The sequence below is a fragment of the Homo sapiens genome, chromosome 7 (assembly GCF_000001405.40).
Source record: "Homo sapiens chromosome 7, GRCh38.p14 Primary Assembly".
Taxonomy (NCBI): domain Eukaryota; kingdom Metazoa; phylum Chordata; class Mammalia; order Primates; family Hominidae; genus Homo; species Homo sapiens.
Genome location: NC_000007.14, coordinates 5,771,158 through 5,791,829, shown reverse-complemented (window position 1 = coordinate 5,791,829; position 20,672 = coordinate 5,771,158). Strand labels below are relative to the sequence as shown.

At 47.3% G+C, this 20,672-nt stretch overlaps 1 protein-coding gene across 9 annotated transcripts in view, besides 1 other annotated feature; it reads left to right on the top strand.

Moving 5' to 3' along the window:
- Positions 10,167-20,672, top strand: part of RNF216 (ring finger protein 216) — a 161,617-nt gene continuing 151,111 nt past the window's right edge. For 5 of the 9 annotated variants that reach the window (NM_207116.3, NM_207111.4, NM_001377156.1 and 2 more), the window contains exon 1: positions 10,167-10,289. The gene's annotated coding sequence lies outside the window, so the exon portion shown is untranslated. Of the gene's footprint in view, positions 10,290-10,954; positions 11,846-13,166; positions 14,344-20,672 lie in introns of those variants that run through there. The other 4 variants (XM_005249785.3, XM_047420525.1, XM_047420524.1 and 1 more) reach the window with 4 other exon arrangements.
- Positions 10,369-10,758: a silencer, noted in NCBI's record as "silent region_17930". NCBI's record gives its function as "represses an Ori minimal core promoter by ATAC-STARR-seq in GM12878 lymphoblastoid cells {active_cell/tissue: GM12878}" and the evidence as "EXISTENCE:reporter gene assay evidence [ECO:0000049][PMID:35858748]".

Here is a 20,672-nt window from a genome sequence, read left to right as displayed (position 1 = left end):
TCTGCCTCAGCCTCCCGAGTAACTGGGGTTACAGGCGCGCGTCACCATGCCCTGATAAGTTTTGTATTTTTAGTAGAGACGGGGTTTCACCATGTTGGCCAGGCTGGTCTTGAACCCCCGACCTCAGGTGATCCACCCGCCTCAGCTTCCCAAAGTGCTGGCATTACAGGCGTGAGCCACCGTGCCCGGCCCATTTCAGTAATTATCTATTTTCACAGGAATGCAACTAATACAAGTATCACATAAAGTGCGTTATTTTAAAAACACTATCGCTCAGGAGAAGCTACGACCACTTTGGAAAACAGTTTGGTCCTCACTATATGATCCAGCAATTCTACTTATTTAACCACTATTGCTTAAGTAACAGTGTTGGGCCTTCCTCTTCCTATATTGGTGGAGTAATAAGAACCAGAATTTGGCTGGGTGCAGTGGCTCACGCCTGTAATCCCAGCACTTTGGGAGGCCAAGGAGGGCGGATCACTGGAGGTCAGGAGTTCTAGACCAGCCTGGCCAACGTGGTGAAACCCCATCTCTACTAAAAATAAAAAAATTAGCTGGGCGTGGTGGCACACGCCTGTAATCCCAGCTACTCAGGAGGCTGAGACAGGAGAATTGCTTGAACGTGGGAAGTGGACGTTACAGTGAGCCAAGATTGTGCCATTGCACTCCAGCCTGGGCGACAGAGCAAGACTCTGTCTAAACAAAAATAAAAAAAAAAAATGGGCAAAATATTTGAATACACATTTCTTAAAAGAAGACATACAAATGAGCAACAGGTTTAAGAAAAGGTATGCAGCATCATCGATCATCAGAGAAATGCAAATCAAAACTACAATGAGAGATCATCTGACCACAGTTAAAATGGCTTCTATCCAAAGACAGGTAATAACAAACGCTGGCGAGGTTGTGGAGAAAACGGAGCCTTCAGACACTGTTAGTAGAAATGTAACTTAGTACAACCAGCATGGAGAACAGTTTGAAGGTTCCTCAAAAAACTAAACGTAGAGCTACCATAAGATCCAGTAATCGCAATGCTGGGTATATAACCAAAAGAAAGGAAATCAGTATATCAAAGAGATATCTTCATTTCCATATTTATTGCAGTGCTATTTACAATAGTCAAGATTTGGAAGCAACCTAAGTGTTCATCAATGATCAGTGGATAAAGAAAACGTGCTGCATATACACAATGGAGTACTATTCAGTCATGAAAAAGATTGAGATCCTGTCATTTGCAACAACATGGATGGAACTGGAGATTATTATGTTAAGTGAAATAAGCCAGGCACATCCCAGCTACTCGGGACGCTGAGGCAGGAGAATGGCGTCAACCTGGGAGGCAGAGCTTGCAGTGAGCCGAGATCACCCCACTGCACTCCAGCCTGGGCGACAGAGCGAGACTAACACTGAATGTTCTCACTTATTGGTGGGACCTAAAAATCAAAACAATTGACCTTATGGGCATAGAGAGTAGAAGGACAGTTATCACAGGCTGGGAAGCGTAGTGCGAGGATGGGTGGGGGAGGTGGGGATGGTTAAAGGGTACAAAAAAATAGAAAGAATGAATAAGACCTAGTATTTGAAAGCACAACTGGGTGACTATAGTCAATAATAACTTTTTTTTGAGGCGTAGTCTTGCTCTGTCACCCAGGCTGGAGTGCAGTGGTGCAATCTCGGCTCCCTGCAACCTCCGCCTCCCTGGTTCAAGTAATTCTCCTGCCTCAGCCTCCCAAGTAGCTGGGATTACAGACACATGCCACCACGTGGCTAATTTTTGTATTTTTAGTAGAGACAGGATTTCACCATGTTCGCCAGGCTGGTCTCGAACTCCTGACCTCAGGTGATCTACCCATCTCAGCCTCCCAAAATGCTGGGATTACAGACATGAGCCACCACGCCTAGCCTCTTTTATTTATTTATTTATTGGGAGACGGAGTCTCACCCTGTGGCCTAGGCTGGAGTGCAATGGTGTGATCTCGGCTCACTGCAACCTCTGCCTCACGGGTTCAAGAGATTCTCCTGCCCCAGCCTCCCGAGTAGCTGGGATTACAGGCACCCTCCACCCGCCACCCCGCCTTGCTAGTTTTTTGTATCTTTAGTAGAGACGAGAGTTCACCATGTTGGCCAGGCTGGTCTCAAACTCCTGACCTTGTGATCTGCCCACCTCGGCTTCCCAAAGTGCTGGGATTACAGGCATGAGCCACCGTGCCCAGCCTCTTTTAGTTATTTTTAAAGGTACAATTCGGCCGGGCGCGGTGGCTCACGCCTGTAACCCCAGTACTCACTATGTTGCTCTCATCAAGATCAAGAGACTCCATCTCTACCAAAAATACAAAAATTAACTGGGTGTGGTGGTGCGTGCCTCTGGTTCCAGCTACTTGAGAGGCCTAGGTGGGAGGATTACTTGAGCCCGGGAGGGTGAGGATGTGGTGAGTCGAGATTGCACACTGCACTCCAGCCTGGGCAACAGAATGAGACCATGTCTCAAAAAAAAAAAAAAAAGAAAGAAAAGAAAACGGTGGCATAAGACAGCCTCGGAAAATAAAAAATAAAAAACAAAATTAAAAAAGGAAATGAAAAGCCAGAGACAAAGAGGAAATGTATGCAATACTAAAATCTTATATCCATACTATAGAAAGATCTCTTACAAGTCAACTGAGAAGGCAAAAAAAAAAAAAAATCCCATTTTTAAAATGGGATTTAAAAAATTTGAACAGAAATTTCACAAAAGAAAATATACAAAAGGCCAGGGCTGGGCACAGCGGCTCACACTTGTAATCCTAGTGTTTTAGGAGGTCAAGGTGGGAGGATCACTTGAGGCCAGAAGTTCAAGACCAGCCTGGGCAACATAGCGAGACCCCATCTCTAAAAAAAAAAAAAATCATATAAATTAGCCAGGAGTGGTGGCATGTGCCTGTAGGCCCAGCTACTAAGGAGGCTGAGGTGGGAGGATCGCTTGAGCCCACGAATTCAAGGCTGCAGTGAGCTATGATCATGCCGCTGCCGTCCAGCCTAGACAATGCTGTGTCTAAAAAAAAAAAAAAAAGAAAGATATTCAAAAGGCCAATTAGCACAAGAAAAGATGCTCAACATATTAGCCACCCGGGAAATGCAAATCAAAACCACAGTGATAGACCATTACCTGTCCATTACAACAGCTGAAATTAAAGACTAGTGATACCAAGAATGGCAACTGGACCTCTCCGTCAGTGCCAGTGGGAAAGTAAAATGATGTACCAGTTTGGGAAACAGTTTGGTTCTTACTATATGATTTAGCAATTCCACACTTAGAGAATGAACATGTATTCACCCAACAACTTTTACACCAATGTGCATAGCAGTTTTATTCATAATTGCCCCAAAATAAAAGAAACTCAATGTGCACCGGCTGGTGAATGGATGAGTGAATTGTGTCATATCTTTGTGGTCGAATACTACTCAGCAGTAAAAAGGAATGAACTACTGATACATGTAACATAGAAGAATCTCAGAAACATGCGGAGGCCAGGCACGGGGGCTCACGCCTGTAATCCCAGCACTTTGGGAGGCTGAGGTGGGAGAATCACTTGAGCTCAGGAGGTCGAGACCAGACTGGGCAAACATAGCAAGACCTCGTCCCTATTAAAAATCAAAACAATGCCGGGCGCGGTGGCTCACGCCTGTAATCCCAGCACTTTGGGAGGCCGAGGTGGGTGGATCACAAGGTCAGGAGATCAAGACCATCCTGGCTAACACGGTGAAACCCCATCTCTACTAAAAATACAAAAAATTAGCTGGGTGAGGTGGCGGGCGCCTGTGGTCCCAGCTACTCAGGAGGCTGAGGCAGGAGAACGGCGTGAACCCAGGGGGCGGAGCCTGCAGTGAGCCAGGATCGCGCCACTGCACTCCAGCCTGGGCGACAGAGCGAGACTCCGTCTCAGAAAAAAAAAAAAAAATCGAAAAAATTATCCAGGCATGGTGATGTGTGCCTGTAGTCTCAGCTCCTCAGTAGGCTGAGGCAGGAAGATGGCTTCAGTCTGGGAGACCAAGGCTGCAGTGAGCTAAGATCATACCACTGCACTCCAGCCTGGGCAACAGAGTGAGACCCTGTCTCAAAAAACAAAAAACATGCTGAGCAAAAGAAACCAGACACAAGAGTACATGCCATATGATCCCATGTATGTGAAACTACAGAAAGATAAATTCTAGTCTAAAATGAGATAAAGGGCTGGGTGCGGTAGCTCAAGCCTGTAATCCCAGCACTTTGGGAGGCCAAGGCAGGCGGATCACCTGAGGTCAGGAGTTCGAGACCACCCTGGCCAACTTTAGTTGGCCATGTTTTTAGTAGAGATGGCAAAAGCTCATCTCTACTGAAAATACAAAAATTAGCTGGACGTGGTGGTGGATGTCTGTAATCCCAGCTACTCGAGAGGATGAGGCAAGAGAATCGCTTGGACCTGGGAGGCGGAGGTTGCAGTGAGCCAAAATCACGCCACTGCACTCCAGCCTGGGCGACAGAGTGAGACTCCATAACAAAAATAAAATAAAATAAAAATACAAAGAATTAGGTGGGTGTGGTGGTGGGGGGTGGGGCCTGTAATCCCAGCTACTCAGGAGGCTGAGGCAGAAGAATCCCTTGAACCCGGGAGGCAGAGGTTGCGGTGAGCCGAGATTGCACCAGTGCACTCCAGCCTGGGTGACAGAGCAAGACTCCATCTCAAAATAAATAAATAAGTGACAAACAGCAAGTGCCCAAAAGCAGGTGGTTGCCTAGCGCCAGGGATGAGGGTTATGGATAGACTGGAAGGAACAGAAGGGAATAGTTTGGGGTGATGGAAATGATCTCTATCTTGATTGTGGGGGGGTTACGAGAGTGTATAAATTTGTCAAAACTGATAGAAAGGTACACTTAAACGGGGTGCCTTGTACCACGTATAAATTACACCTCAGTACCATTGATTTTTTTTTTTTTACAAGTAATGGGCCAAAATGGCAGGAAATTACTGCTTCTGAAAGCAGACTGAGTTTGGGAATAATGTCCTCTATGACAACACCAGCACACCTTCATGTAGATACGGCTGATGACAGTTCTTGGGAACAAAATGACGATGGACAAATTGTGAATAATGGCGGTCCTCCACTGCTGTCAATGATTTCACAGGTCAGATGCACATTAAACTAACTGTAATCAGAAAATGCAATGAAGCCGTGCCGTGATGACTCATGGGGTGGGGGAGTTACAGCCTCGGCTCTCTGGCAGGCTCATGGGGTGAGTGCAGGTTGCACGCCTTTGGCCGTAACTGCATGGAATTACAGCCAGCACAGATGATACGGATTTTCATAGACAGAACTTCCATGCTTCTTCCCAGGAAAACAGCAAAACATCACTTGTTGACAATAGTTTAGTCTGCAGGTAGCTATCTTGCCCTTTCTGATTCTTGGTGCTGGTTAACATTAAGACAAAGAAAACAGGCCAGGTGTGGTGGCTCACACCTGTAATCCCAGCACTTTGGGAGGCCAAGGCGGGCGGATCACCTGAGGTCGGGAGTTCGAGATCAGCCTGAACAACATTGAGAAACCCTGTCTCTACTAAAAATAGAAAATTAGCCGGGAGTGGTGGCATATGCCTGTAATCCCAGCTACTCGGGAGGCCGAGGCAGGAGAATTGCTTGAAACTGGGAGGCAGAGGTTGCAGTGAGCCAAGATCACACCATTGCACTCCAGCCTGGGAAACAAGAGCAAAACTCCTTTCAAACAAACAAACAAACAGACAAAAATAGGACAGGTGCGGTGTGGCTCAAGCCTATAATCTCAGCACTTTGGGAGGCCGAGGCAGGAGGATCACTTGAGGCCAGGAGTTTGAGACCAGCCTGAGAAACACAGCGAGACCCCATCTATACAAAAAAATTAAAAAATTAGTCGGGCGTGGTGGCACACACCTGTAGTCCCAGCTACTCAGGAGGCAGGGGTGGGAGGGTCACTTGAGCCTGGGAGGTCAAGGCTGCAGTGAACTATGATTGACTGAGTCACTGCACTCTAGCCTCGGTGACAGAGTGAGACCCCCAACCCCACCCCACCCCCCTCCAAAAAAAAACAGGGCCGGGCACAGTGGCTCACGCCTGTGATGCCAACACTTTGGAAGGCCGAAGCAGGCAGATCACCTGAGGTCAGGAGTTCAAGACTAGCTTGGCCAACGTGGTGAAACCCTGCCTCTACTGAAAATACAAAAATTAGGCGGATGTGGTGGCGGGCACCTGTAATCTCAGCTACTTGGGCTGAGACTCGAGAATCACTTGAATCCGGGAGGCAGAGTTTGCAGTGAGCCAAGATCATGCCATTGCACTCCAGCATGAGCGACAAGAGTGAAACTCCGTCTCCAAAAAAAAAAAAAAAAAAAAAAGGCCAGAGGCTTCAAAAGTAACCAGAATGATTCCAGTTCAAAAGTAACCAGAATGATTCCAGTTCAAAAGTAACCAGAATGATTCCAGACAACCTAGAAGGAGGGAGTAGCTTCCTCTCGCCCTCACTGGGAAAAATGCAGAGATATGATAGTTGTCTTTATGACTCCGAAAATGCTTAAGACAAGAAGAGCATGTAAACAAATAACTCCTATGAGAGCTTCTCAATTCACACATGATCCCATTTCATCCTTGCAAGAACACCGGGCAATAGATAATATCTTAAAATTCCCATTTTACAAATAAAAAATTCCCCGCCAGACATGGCAGTTCACATCTGCCATCCCACCACTTTAGGAGGGCAAGATGGAAGGATCACTTAGAGCCAGGAGTTCGAGACCACCCTGGGCAACAAAGCGAGACTCTGTTTCTATAATTTTTTTTTTTTTTTGAGGCGAAGTCTTGCTGTGTTACCTAGGCTGGGGTGCAGTGGCGCAACCTCGGCTCACTGCAACCTCTGCCTCCTGGGTTAAAGTGATTCTCCTGCCTCAGCCTCCTGTGTAGCTGGGACTAGAGGCATGTGTCACCACACCTGGCTATCTATTAATGTTTTTTTAAATTAAACTTCAAAATAAAGGCCTGGCATGGTGGCTTACACCTGTAATCCCAGCACTTTGGGCTGAGACAGGCAGATCACCTGAGGTGAGGAGTTTGAGACCAGCATGGCCAACATGGTGAAACCCCGTCTCTACAAAAAATATTTTAAAAATTAGCCGGGTGTGATGGTGGGTGCCTGTAGTCCCAGCTACTTGGGAGACTGAGCCAGGAGAATCGCTTGAACCTGGGAGGCAGAGGTTCCAGTGAGGCAAGATCGTGCCACTGCACTCCAGCCTGGGCGATGGAAGGAGACACCGTCTCAAAAATAAATAAATAAAGACAAAAATAAAGTCTCTCTTCTCATTGCCATCACGTCTGAGTCAGAGTCTCCAAAAAGCCTGAACAAATAAAAAATTCCAGACTCAGGCCAGGTGCGGTGGCTCATGCCTGTAATTCCAGCACTTTGGGAGGCCAAGGCGGGTGGATCACGAGGTCAGGAGATCGAGACCATCCTGGCTAACACGGCGAAACCCCATCTCTACTAAAAATACAAAAAAAAATTAGCCCTTGGTGGCGGGCGCCTGTAGTCCCAGCTACTCGGGAGGCTGAGGCAGGAGAACGGCGTGAGCCCAGGAGGCGGAGCTTGCAGTGAACCAAGATCGCGCCACCGCACTCCAGACTGGGTGGCACAGCAAGACTTCATCTCAAAAAAAAAAAAAAAAAAAGCTAGACTCAGAGAGGTTACTCGATCGCACCTGCCTTGGGTGTGACACCAACCACAGAGGGGTTCAGTGGTCCGGAAAGAACCTTGCACTCCTGCTAAGATCACCAAGCTCTCCTTCCAATACTGCTTTCTTCCAACATCTCAAAGGGCTTATGAGGACCATCCTAAGAAGAAGGCTGTAACTGACAGCGATTATCCACCTCCCCCAAGAGGACCAGCATGGAGGATAAGCTCATCAAGGCCAATGCCTTTGTTTTACCTTCCAGGTGATTCCAGGATCTCATCTCAGGTAAGTATCTATCTTAAACTCTCTCTCCTGTTCACCCTCTAATGTCTCCCATGCACTGCACCCTCTAACTCAGGGCCTGACATCTGTAAGATCCCTAGATCCTCGTCCTGTTCTGTAAGCAGCCCTTCAATTTCTACTTCACTGAAACATGACTATTCCCTCAGGACACTGTTCCCCAAAGCACTATGAGTAGTGGTCTTTTTCTGTCCCATGCAAGCCCCCATAAGCCACACTCTACTGTCTTAGAGAAGGAACACTCATTGCCGCATCAAGACTATTGTTCCTCTCATTTCCCTGTTTTGTTTTTGTTTGCTTCTTTTGAGACAGGCTGTTGTTCTGTCATCCAGGCTGGAGTGCAGCAGTGCAATCATAGCTCACAGCAGCCTCGGACTCCTGGGCTCAAACAATCCTCTGGCCGGGTTTAGTGGCTCGCTCCTGTAATTCCAGCACTTTGGTAGGCCGAGGTGGGTAGATTACCTGAGGTCAGGAGTTCAAGACCAGCCTGGCCAACATGGTGAAACCCTGTCTCTACTGAAAATACGAAAATTAGCCGGGCGTGGTGGCACATGCTTGTAATCCCAGCTACTCAGGAGGCTGAGGCAGGAGAATCGCTTGAGCCCAGAAGGTGGAGGTTGCAGTGAGCCAAGATCGTGCCACCGCACTCCAGCCTGGCTGACAGAGTGAGATTCTGTCCAAAAAAACAAAACAAACAAAACAAAACAAAACAAAAAAATCCTCCCACCTCAGTCTCCTGAGTAGCTGGGACTATAGGTGCGCACCACCATGCCCGGCTAATTTTTATTTTTGTAAAGATGGGGTCTTACTCTATTGCCCAGGATCGTCTCAAACTCCTGGCTTCAAGCCATCCTCCCACCTCCATTTCCCAAAATGTTCGGATTCCAGGTATAAGCCACTATGCCCAGCCCAGACTCATTTATCTAATTACTGACTTGATATCTCTACTTGAAGGTGTACTTGGCAATTTTTTTTTTTTTGAGACACAGTCTCACTCTGTTACCCAGGCTGAAGTGCAGTGGCATAATCACTGCACTACAACCTCCCCCTCCTCGGTTCAAGCAATTCTTGTGCCTCGGCCTCCCGAGTAGCTCGGATTACAGGCACGCACCACCATGCCCAGCTAATTTTTGTATTTTTAGTAGAGACGGGGTTTCACCATGGTGGCCAGGCTGGTCTCGAACTCCTGACCTCAAGTGATCTGCCTGCCTCGGCCTCCCAATGTGCTGGGATTACAGGCGTGAACCACCACGCCTGGCCAGCAATTATTTTAAGAGTTGGGGTCTTGCTATTTTGCTAAGGCTGGTCTTGAACTCCTGGCCTCAAGCGATCCTCCTGCCTTGGCCTTCCAAAGCGCGGGGATTATGGACATGAGCCACTGTGCCCAGCAGGAGCAGTATTTTAGTCAGTTATTCACTTGCTCACTAAAACCTAAACTTCCTGAGGCCAGGAACACATTTTACTTTTTTTTTTTTTCGAGATGGAGGGTTGCTCTGTTGCCCAGGCTGGAGTGCAGGGGCGCCATGTTGGCTCACTACAACCTCCGCCTCCCAGGTTCAAGTGATTTTCCCGCCTCAGCCTCCTGAGTAGCTGGGATTACAGGCATCCGCCACCATGCCTGGCTAATTTTTTTATTTTTGGTAGAGACGGGTTTCACCATGTTGGCCAGGCTGGTCTCCAACGTCTGACCTCAAGTGATCCACCCGCCTTGGCCTCCCAAAGTGCTGGGATTACAGGCGTGAGCCACTGTGCCCAGCCATGGGACCCACTTTACTCTTAATTTCCCCAATTCCTAGAACAGTGTGTGGCCCACAGGAAATCCGCAGAATATATTTGCAGAATGAATGAATGACTTGCCAAACGAATTAGGGCAAATCAGTAGATATCGAGTAAACATCCACAACCACCTGCCCCATACCCTTTTCAGCTCTGGGGAGATGGTGGCTCCTTGTGGGGTCGGATATGGGGGTCTCCTTTCCTTTCACCCTCCTGCCTCGTGGGGGAGTCAAGTCTCCGCAGGCGGAGAGCCCGGATGCAGGCGCGACTAGGCGGCCCTCTCTATGGTGAGCCCCCCGGTCCCTCCTCCGCAGTACCCGGAGTGCCTCTATGGTTCTTCCTGTCCTTAGTCGGGAGGGGGCGCTGTGCGCAGGCGCGAGGTGACGCCGCGGCAGGGCCGGAAGGAGTGCAGCGGCTGCCACGGAGCTCGCAGCTGCGGCTTCTGAGGAGTAAGCGGCGCGGTAGCGAAGGCCGCCGAACCTGCCTGGCTAGCCGGCGACTTGAGTGACGAGTGAGTGTCGGCTGCGGGGCGCGCTCGAGCTCCTGGGCGGGTCTGTGAGGCGACGCGGCCTCTCTGAGGGGCGCCTCTGTGGAGCTCCGGGGGTGGGGGCGGGGGCGCGGGCCGTGAGGGCCGCCGAGCTGAGGGGCGCGGGCCGAGGCCCGGGCGGGATCGGGCCAAGGGGCTGGGCTGGGCGTCTCGAGCCCGGTGCGGTGGCGAGGCTGGAGCGACAAAGGCGCTGAGCGGCCGGGTGGCCCCCTCTCGCCACTTCGCGAAGTTTCGCGGGCCGGCCCCTCGGGTCTGCTGCGCGAGGGCAACAGCCCGGGAGACCGCGCTTCCCTCCCCCGGGCCCGAGGCCGCCGCGGAGGCGGTGTCCGTGCACCCGAGCGCGGCCTGGAGGAGCGGCGGGAGGCGGGCCGTGCCTGTGAACCCCAGCCCAGGCGGGCGGCGTTTTTCCTCCTCTTCCCTCACATCTGGAGCGCGTGTTCCGCGAAAGTTGGCGACTGTCACCCGGCACTCGCGAGGGCGCCGCAAGTGCGTCAAACCCTTCTGCGGGGCGCTGGGGGCTGGCCCGGCTCGGGTGTCCGGGCGCTGGGCAGCGAGCGAGGCCGCTGTCCCCGCGTCGAGGTGGTTCTGCTCCCGGTGGAACAGGACCAGGGATCCAAGACTCTGGGCCACTTGCAACCAACCCTGGAGCGTGCGCGGCGTGCGGGTTACAGAAATTTCTGACAAATCCGACAGGGCTCTGTAAATCCCTAAGGGCCTGGGTAGCAGCTGTCCTAGGTACTTAGATCGTGCAAAGAGAACGTTCTTTTTTCTTTTACTTTTTTTTTTTTCTCCTTTTCTTTGAGACGGAGTCTTGCTCTGTTGCCCAGGCTGGAGTGCAGTGGCGCGATCCCGGCTCACTGCAAGCTCTGCCTCCCGGATTCAAGCGATTTTCCTGCCTCAGCCTCACAGGGATTGCCTCAGCTGGGATTACAGGCATTTGCCACCACGTCCAGCTAATTTTTGTATTTTTAGTAGAGACGGGATTTCTCCGTGTTGGCCAGGCTGGTCTCTAACGTCTGACCTCAGGTGATCCCTCCGCCTCGGCCTCCCAAAGTGCTACAGTCTTTTCAAAAGACGTTTCAGATATGTTCTCCGGGACCCTCGGGCCCTTCAGTAAGAAGCGCCCTGGCTGAAAACCCACACGTTCACCTACAGAAGAAGCACTGTGACGTAGAGGGTGAGCAGAGCAGAGGGCCTCACAGTGGCCCTCACATGCACCTGGCTCCAGCCTGGCCAGGTCATTTTGCCCTGGTGGGCCTGTGCCTCAAAAATGGGGTTTCTTCCCTTGTGAGGAAGACCCATGAATTAGTAACGGAATTGCCAGGAATGCTAAAAACTATCTAAATGCCATGTATTGTTTTCAAGCTGTTACTCCTGGAAGGGGCTGGGTTGGCATTGTTTTAGAGGTTAGGAGCCAAACATCAGCTCATCTATTCTCCAGCTGTTGTTTGTCCTCCATCTTCCTGCAATAGTCAGGCACAGGGTCTTATAAAAATGGGTTTGTGCTGCTGTATGTTTCGGTGGGTACCTTTGTTTACTGAATGGGATGTAGGTGGGGGACCAGAGCATATCCGCGTCCCTCGGAAACAGTGGCGTTTTAGATGTAGTATGTCCCGTCAGCTCCTCTCTGCCCCACCCACCCCAGCCCATTCATTGAGCATTTTTTTTTTTTTTTTGAGGCGGAGTCTGGCTGTATTTCCCAGGCTAAAGTGCAGTGGTGCCATCTCTGCCCACTGCACCCTCCGCCTGCCAGCTTCAAGTAATTCTCCTGCCTCAGCCTCCCGAGTAGCTGGAATTACAGGCGCGCACCACCACGCTCGGCTAACTTTTTTTTTTTTTTTTTTTTTTAAGAGACGGAGTCTAGCTGTGCTGCCCAACTCCTGGGTTTAAGTGACCCTCAGCCTCCCAAAGCACAAGAATTACAGGCTTTAGCCACCGTGCTCTGCCAGAACATTCTTTACGCGCTGAGAAGGGAGAGAAGCGGGAAGATTCTATGAAACATCTCAATTTAGTCGGCTTGCTTTAAGGAAGAAGGCTAATACATGGCCTGGCTTTGCCTTGGTTTTGTATTTCATAATTTATTGCGCCTGGGGTGTGGGGAGTAGTGGTGGATTTGAGGAAATGCCTGGAGAGTCTGGGCCAGATTTTGGACCCCCTGGCAAACCTCATTCGAGGCTTTAGATTTTTACCCTGATTAGAGCAGCAGCAGCTAATAAAAGAGAACTCCTGAAGCCCCTGTGGAGAAATCTGATAAAGAAGGGTTAGGTGTGAGTGAGGCAGATCGAAAGTTGATGAATAGGATAGTTGAGAGAGCTGGTATTTGCTGATTCTACTACCAGCTACTATTTAATGTGTTTACAAAATTCTAGGCATTGCTATATTCTAGCTCTTTAGAGACATAATTCATTCTCATACCTGATATCATTATATTTGCATTATTGTTAAAGATAATAGAACATAGTTGGGAATGGTGTGGCTCACGCCCGTAATCCCAGCACTTTGGGAGGCCGAGGCGGGCAGATCACCTAAGGTCAGGAGTTCGAGACCAGCCTGGCCAACATGGTGAAACCCCGTCTCTACTAAAAATACAAAAATTAGCCAGGTGTGATGGCGTGCGCCTGTAATCCCAGCTACTGGGGAGGCTGAGGCAGGAGAATCACATGAACTCGGGAGGCGGAGGTTGCAGTGATCCGAGATTGTGCCACTGCACTCCAGCCTGGGTGACAGAGCGAGACTCCGTCTCAAAAATAATAATAATTTTAAAAAAAGAAACTGAGGTGCTGAAAAATATCTAGTCCCAAAACTTGTAAGGGTCAGCGTGGAACTTGAACTCAGTTTGGACCCAGAGTTCATGCCACTAATTATCCTTCTATAATTAGTGAGTGCTATTTATTCTGAAAGTACATCTACTATTGAAGATCATCTACTGTGCCATCCGATATGCTATGTCCTGGGGCTTTGGGATCAAGTGACACTTTGGTTCTGCCTTCTTGGAACTTAAGTTTTAGCAGAGGAGACCAAAATTACACATAGTTTCCTAAATAAGTATATTAAAGTATTGTTGGAAGTACTTTGAAGAAATGAGGTACGTTGTGTGATTGAACCAGGGAGGAACATCTAGGGGATAATCAGGAACAATTTTTCTCTGAGGAGAAAGCAAAGAACCGAACAATGAATAGAGTTAATTTGGTCCAAGAGGCAGTGAAGAAGAGTAGTTTAGCTGGGGAAGAGCCTGCAGTGGAAGGAAGGAGCAAGTCATGGAACTGAACCATTGTTACTACTGAATGGTGAATGCGGGGGGAAAAGGTATGAGGTAAGGCCCGCTATGTCAGCAAGGTCAGGTGATGGTAGCGTTTTGTAGGCCATGGTAAGGATTTCGGTTTCACCATGGTGAGATTTGTGGTTTAAAAGAAATAACTCAAATGCCGTATGAAAACATGTCAAGGGATGGAGCCTGCAAGGCAGTACTTGGGCTAGAAGCAGAAGCATGTCCTTTGGTCACAGAAGATTCAGTTCTAAAAAGATCGTTGAAAACGTTGATTTTACCCTCCACACATGAGGATGTACTTACTTATCTGTCCTAGTTTCTAAACTAATTTTCATTGGACAGTTGAAGAAAATCTTGATGTTTTATGTTAAATTGTTTAGCCCGCCCACTGAAGATTTTGAGTTTAATTTTTGATTTAAAACCTTTCCTATTGTAAAAATACACAGATAATAGGATTCTTAGAGCTGTTAAACTCTAGACTAATTGTTTGCATATTTATATCCATAATGATGGATGTTATTTTACCATATTTTGTCCACATATTAAAGTTAACACAATTTTCGTTTTCTTTCTCTGAACTCATCATCTGCTTTGTTCTTCCTTAATAGCATCACCATCCTGTGGTCACCTGATCTCAGCGTCTAGGTCAACTTTGATTCCTTTCTTCTTGCCCTGATGGCCAGTGACATACACAGATCCCATCGACTCTAACTCTGCAGTCAGTGTCTTGTATTCTTCTCCTCCCCCTAGGTACTGTTGGCTCTTGTTTCCTGGCACCGGTTGTCTCCTACATGCCATCTTACACATTGCAGCCAGGTTGATTTTTCTAAAGCACAGCTGTCATTGCATTGCTTCCCATTGGCTAGAAAATAAAATCTGAGCTCTGTTTCAGTTATCTGTTGATGTATAACAAACCACCCTAATACTTACTGCTTCATAGAATAATTTTGTTTGTTGACAGTTTTATGAATCAGGAGAATTGAGAAGTGCTCACCTGGGCCATTTTTCTCTGGTCGACATGTTGTCAGCAGAGGTGGCCAGTGCTGGAGCATCCGCTTCCACAATGTCTTCTTCGTTCACATGCCTTGTCAAAGACTGCTGGAAGGCCGGGCTCCACTGGCTCTTTCCCTCCACGTGTAGTGTCAGGTCTTTCTGTGTGATCTCTCAGCAGGGTATTCAGACTTTTTACCTGATGACTCTGGGCCCAGGAGCCCTAAGTGAAAGCTGTTGTGCTCACTCGCTCTTTCTCTTCCTTTCTTTCACTTTCTTTTTCTTTCTTTCTTTCTTTTTTTCTCTCTCTCTCTCTTTTTCTCTCTCTCTTTTTTTTTTTTTTTTTTGGACAGAGTCTCCCTCTGTCGCACAGGCTGGAGTGCAGTGGCACAATATCAGCTCACTGCAACCTCCTCCTCCCAGGTTCAAGCCATTCTTGTGCCTCAGCCTCCAGAGTAACAGGGATTACAGGCATGAGCCACCACACCCAGCTAATTTTTGTATTTTTTTAGTAGAGTCAGGGGCTGCTGTGCTTTTAAAGGATAAACCCAGATCTGACACGTCTCTCACTTTAGCTTGATATGGCTATTCCTGTGAAACCTTCACTGACTACCTGCCCTTCCCCTATAGTCTTTTTTTTTTTTTTTTTTTTGAGACGGAGTCTTGCTCTGTCGCCCAGGCTAGAGTGCAGTGGCCCGATCTTAGCTCACTGCAAGCTCCGCCTCCCGGGTTCTCGCCATTCTCCTGCCTCAGCCTCCTGAGTAGCTAGGACTACAGGCGCCCGCCACCACGCCTGGCTAATTTTTTTGTGCTTTTTTTTTTTTTTAAGTAGAGACGGGGTTTCACCGTGTTAGCCAGGATGGTCTCCGTCTCCTGACCTCGTGATCCGCCCGCCTTGGCCTCCCAAAGTGCTGGGATTACAGGCTTGAGCCACCGTGCCCGGCTATAGTCTCTTTATTACACTAGTGACTTTATTCTCTGATTGATGGGACTCTGAGTTCTTTGAGACAAAATCCATTTGAGAGTTTGTTTTGATGTATTCCCGATGATGCATAACCAATTCTTGTTACATAAAATGCTGTAGCAGTACAGTCAGCTCTCCATATCCACAGCTTTCACATATGGATATGGAGAGCTAACAGTAAACTTTTTCTGTATTGATTTAATATTAATTGTATTAGTACAGACTTACAAAAGGATGGATATCCAAAGAATGGTTAGGATGAGCAACTGGTATTTGAATGAAAAACAATCGTTTATAGACATTTTTAAAAACATGCTGGGAAGAGGTATTGTGGAGGCCTGGTGTGACACGGGCATGTCATCTTCTTCCAGCCTGTGCCTAGCTCTGCTTTGCCCACTTTTTCTTTTTTTTTTTGAGATGGAATCTCGCTCTGTCACCCAGGCAGGAGTGCAGTGGCGCATTCTAGGCTCACTGCAAGCTTTGCATCCCGGGTTCAAGCATTTCTCCTGCCTCAGCCTCCCGAGTAGCTGGGACTACAGGTGCCTGCAACCACGCCTGGCTAGTTTTTGTATTTTTAGTAGAGACAGGTTTTACCGTGTTGGCCAGGCTGGTCTTGAACTCCTGACCTCAAATAATCCACTCACCTCGGCCTCTCAAAGTTTTGGGATTACAGGTGTGAGCCACTGCACCTGGCCTGCTTTGCCCACTTTTTGCTGGGAAGTCAAAGGGATTAACTCATTAAATTTGAAAGTCTTTAGTGACCCCCAAATCTGTTGCAGAAGTGGCAGGCATATTTACAGGAAGTATTCTGGAGAGCCAGGGGCACTACAGAGCCCTAGGATCATACAGTAGTAGTTTAGGAGCATATACATAAGGAAAAATGGAGAAGCAGCATGAATAGAACAAGGAGAAAAAAATGATTTGTAGAAGACAGCCTCAAGCATTCTGGTCACGAGGAAGTGAAGGTGAGATTTTGAAAACCAGAAAATTGGGTGAGAGAACCGTGAGCGATTCTCTTTTCTTCCTGACTTCCTTTGTTTCCCATATTTTCTGTAATGGGCAATACTTGATAACTGAAGAAAATCCTAATTGTTGTTGCCTAGGCCATGTTTCCTGACTCTGGTTCTATGGCCATGGTGAATAACAGCTCCAGTCTTTGACAGAGGAAGAAGTTTTTGGAGCCACTCGTTCAACAACTGTGCTAGGCATTGGAAATACAACTATAAGTAAGAAAAGAGGCCAGGCACAGTGACTTACGACTGTAATCTCACCACTTTGGTGAGTGTCGGGGGGGTGGATCACCTGAGGTCGGCATTTCAAGACCAACCTAAGATGGCGAAACCTCATCTCTACTAAAAATATAAAATTAGCTGGGCATGGTGGCAACATGCCTGTAACTTGGGAGGCTGAGACAGGAGAATCACTTGAACTCTGGAGGGGATGTTGCAGTGAACTGAGATTGCACCATTGCACTCCAGCCTGGGCAACAAGAGCAAAACTTCGTCTCAATAAAAAAAAAAAAAGTAACTTGGAATGGGAAAATAAAGATTTTTTCCCCCCTTGAACTGTATTTTATTAATAAGCACTGCATTTCCTGTGTACTTGTGATTACAATGCAGCTATTTTGATGGTATTTACCATATACAAAGTGGCTTCTCATTTTTCAACATAGCCTTGTAATGTAAGAATAGCTATTTTGATTTTTCTGTTTCGCAGGTAACAGTTAATAAAAATAGCACAATGTCACACTTAGTATATATCAGGCACTGTGCTAAAACTTCATGTAATTCAACTGATTTAGTTTTTAAAAAGTTTTTATTTTTTAAAATTAATGAATTTTTTTGGAGGTAGGTTCTCCCTCTGCCGCCTATGCTGGAGTGCAATGGTGCTATCATAGCTTACTTGCAGCATTGAACTCCTGGGCTCAAAGGATTCTCTTGCTTCAGCAACCACAGTAAAGCTGGGACTTGGGCACATGCCACTCTACCTACCCGCAACTAATTTTAAAACAACTGTATTCTCATTTTACAAATGAGGAAATTGGCCTAGGAGATTGAACAATTTATCTGGAGCCACCGATTGACTAAATGGGAAACCAAGATTTAAACATAGGCAGTATTATCCGAAGCCCAGATTAAAAGACTTGAGTGTCAGAGAGTTAAATGACCTGATACAGAGACTTACATTTAGTTAAGAGTAGAAATTCCATCATCAGAATTCTTTTCTTCTCACAGGTTGGGGCCACTGGTGTGCCACTCATGAGGAATTTTTTGAACCGTTACTAGCAGTCTGCTTAACTACAAGCCTGACATTTCAACTAAATTAGCTGTAAAAATGACTCACATCTCCCTTTGATTTTCAGTGTAAAATTGAAGGAAGCCAGTTGTGGTCAAAGAAAAAATAAGAAATTTGGCTTGGGGCCAGGCACGGTGACTCGCCTGTTATCCCAGGACTTTGGGAGGCTGAGGCAGGCAGATCACTGAAGTCAGGAGTTCAAGATCAGCCTGGCCAACATGACAAAACCACTTCTCTACTAAAAATACAAAAATTAACCAGCATGGTGGCACGCATGTGTCGTCCCAGCTACTCAGGGAGGCTGAGGCAGGAGAATCGCTTGAACCTGGGAGACGGAGGTTGCAGTGAGCTGAGATCGTGCCACTGCACTCCAGCCTGGGTGACAAAGCAAGATTCCGTCTCAAAATTTGGCTTGAAAATAGTGTTCAAAATACTTTTTAAAAATCTGGCTGGGTGTGGTGGCTCACTCCTGTAATCTCAGCACTTTGGGAGACCAAGGCGGGGAAATCACGAGGTCAGGAGTTTGAAACCAGCCTGGCCAACATGGTGAAACATTGTCTCTACTAAAAATACAAAAAACTAGCTTGTTTGGTGGCGGGCACCCTTAATCCCAGCTATTCTGGAGGTTGAGGCAGAAGAATCGCTTGAACCCAGGAGGTGGAGGTTGCAGTGAGCTGAGATTGCACCACTGCACTCCAGCCCAGGTGACAGTGGGAGACTCTGTCTCAAAAAAAAAAAAAATCTTATTTGGGGAAAAAAAAGGACTTGATTAGATGCAGTTCAAATTTGATACCAGAGCTGTTCTTTTAAATACCATGCTACTTATTAATAACATCAATATCATTATTTCAAATGAGAGACCCAAACTTACGCTGATATATGTCAGTTTTAAAAGTGGGAATACCTGGGGCCAGGCATGGTGGCTCATGCCTGTAATCCCACCACTGTGGGAGGCTGAGGCGTGTGGATCACCAGAGGTCAGTAGTTCGAGACTAGCCTGGCCAACATGGTGAAACCCTGTGTCTACTAAAAAATACAAAAATTAGCCAGACATGGTGGCGCATGCCTGTAATCCCAGCTACTCGGGAGGGTGAGGCAGGAGAATTGCTTGAACCCGGGATGCAGAGGGTTGCAGTGAGCCGAGATCGTGCCATTGCACTCTAGCCTGGATGACAAGAGCGAAACTCTGTCTCAAAAAAAAAAAAAAAAAAAGGAATATCTTTTTTCAGTTATCAATGCTAGAAATTTCTGTTGTAAAACTTTGCTAACCTGGTTTTGATATCTGTATATTTTGATAGTATCTATAACTTCACATTCTATAAGTTGAGAAAATGCTGATATTATTTGACTATTAACTCTTTGTAGACATTTAATGAGAAGCCCCGATCTGGGGCTTACTGCCTCTGAGGCACAGTGGTTTCTCCCAGGAAGGCAAAGAAAATTGAGATTTTCTCAGAGAGGAAGGAAAGGATTGAATCGCTTAAACCTGGGAGATGGAAGTTGCAGTAAGCCGAGATCGCACCACTGCACTCCAGCCTGGGTGACACAGCAAGAAGCACATTTAAATCTTGTGTTTATAGTAATTTGGTGTTTGTGGAGATTCTTTCTTGTCTAGTTTTTTTGTAACTGTTGTCCATGGAATTTTTTCTGTTACTATGTAAGAATTTGAGGAGATTCAAAGACTATTCTGCTGTTACTACTACTGTCTTCCCAGAATTTCCTTGTGGTTTTATTTTATTTTACTTTATTTTATTGGGACGGAGTTTCACTCTTGTTGCCCAGGCTGGAGTGCAATGGCTTGATCTCGGCTCACCGCAACCTCCACCTCCCGGGTTCAAACGATTCTCCTGCCTCAGCGTCCTGAGTAGCTGGGATTACAGGCATGGGCCACCATGCCCAGCTAATTTTGTATTTTTAGTAGAGACAGGGTTTCTCCATGTTGGTCAGGCTGGTCTCGAACTCCTGAGCTCAGGTGATCCACCCGCCTCGGCCTTCCAAAGTGCTGGGATTACAGGCGTGAGCCACCACGCCCGGCCCCTTGTGGTTTTAGTTTACATTTCTCTGATGTCTCATAATGTTGGACACTTTTTCATTTATTTATTGGCCTTTTGCGTTTCCTCGGGGTACTCAGCCGTTGTTAATTCAAATTGTTTGCCCCATTTTTCCTTTGGGCAGATGTTTTTTGGTGGGGGGACAGGGTTTCACTCCCATTGCCCAGGCTGGAATGCAGTGGCGGGATCACAGCCTACTGCAACCTCCACCTCTCGAGCTCAAGAGATCTTCCCACCTCAGCCTCCTGAGTAGCTGGGACTAGGTGCCCGCTACTGCGCCTGGCTAAATTTTTTTGCTTTTTTTGTAGAAATGGGTTTTGCCATGTTGTCCAGGCTGGTCTCAGACTCCTGAGCTCAAGTGATCTGCCTGCCTTGGCCTTCCAAAGTGCAGGGATTACAGGCATGAGCCACTGCACCCCGCCGGGATTCTTTTTCTTTTCAGTTAACATGCAAGAGTTTTTATATTTTCTCCTGGTGGCTTGCCTTTTCATTCTGAATTTCTTTGGTGAGTAGACATGCTTAATTTTAATGTATAGTGTTTCAGTTTTTTCTTTTATGGATAGTACTGTTTATGTCCTGTTTAGGGTATCTTTTGCACCTCTAAGATTGTGGAGATTTTGTGTTATCTTCTAGAAACTTATTTTACCTTTCTGTTTAAATGTGTAGTTATCTAAAATTGTTTTTGTGTAAGGCATGAGGAAGGGGTTGTTACCCCCTACTCCCACCCCATATATGGCTTTTGAGTACAGCATCATATAGTAGAAAGGTCATGTTTTCCA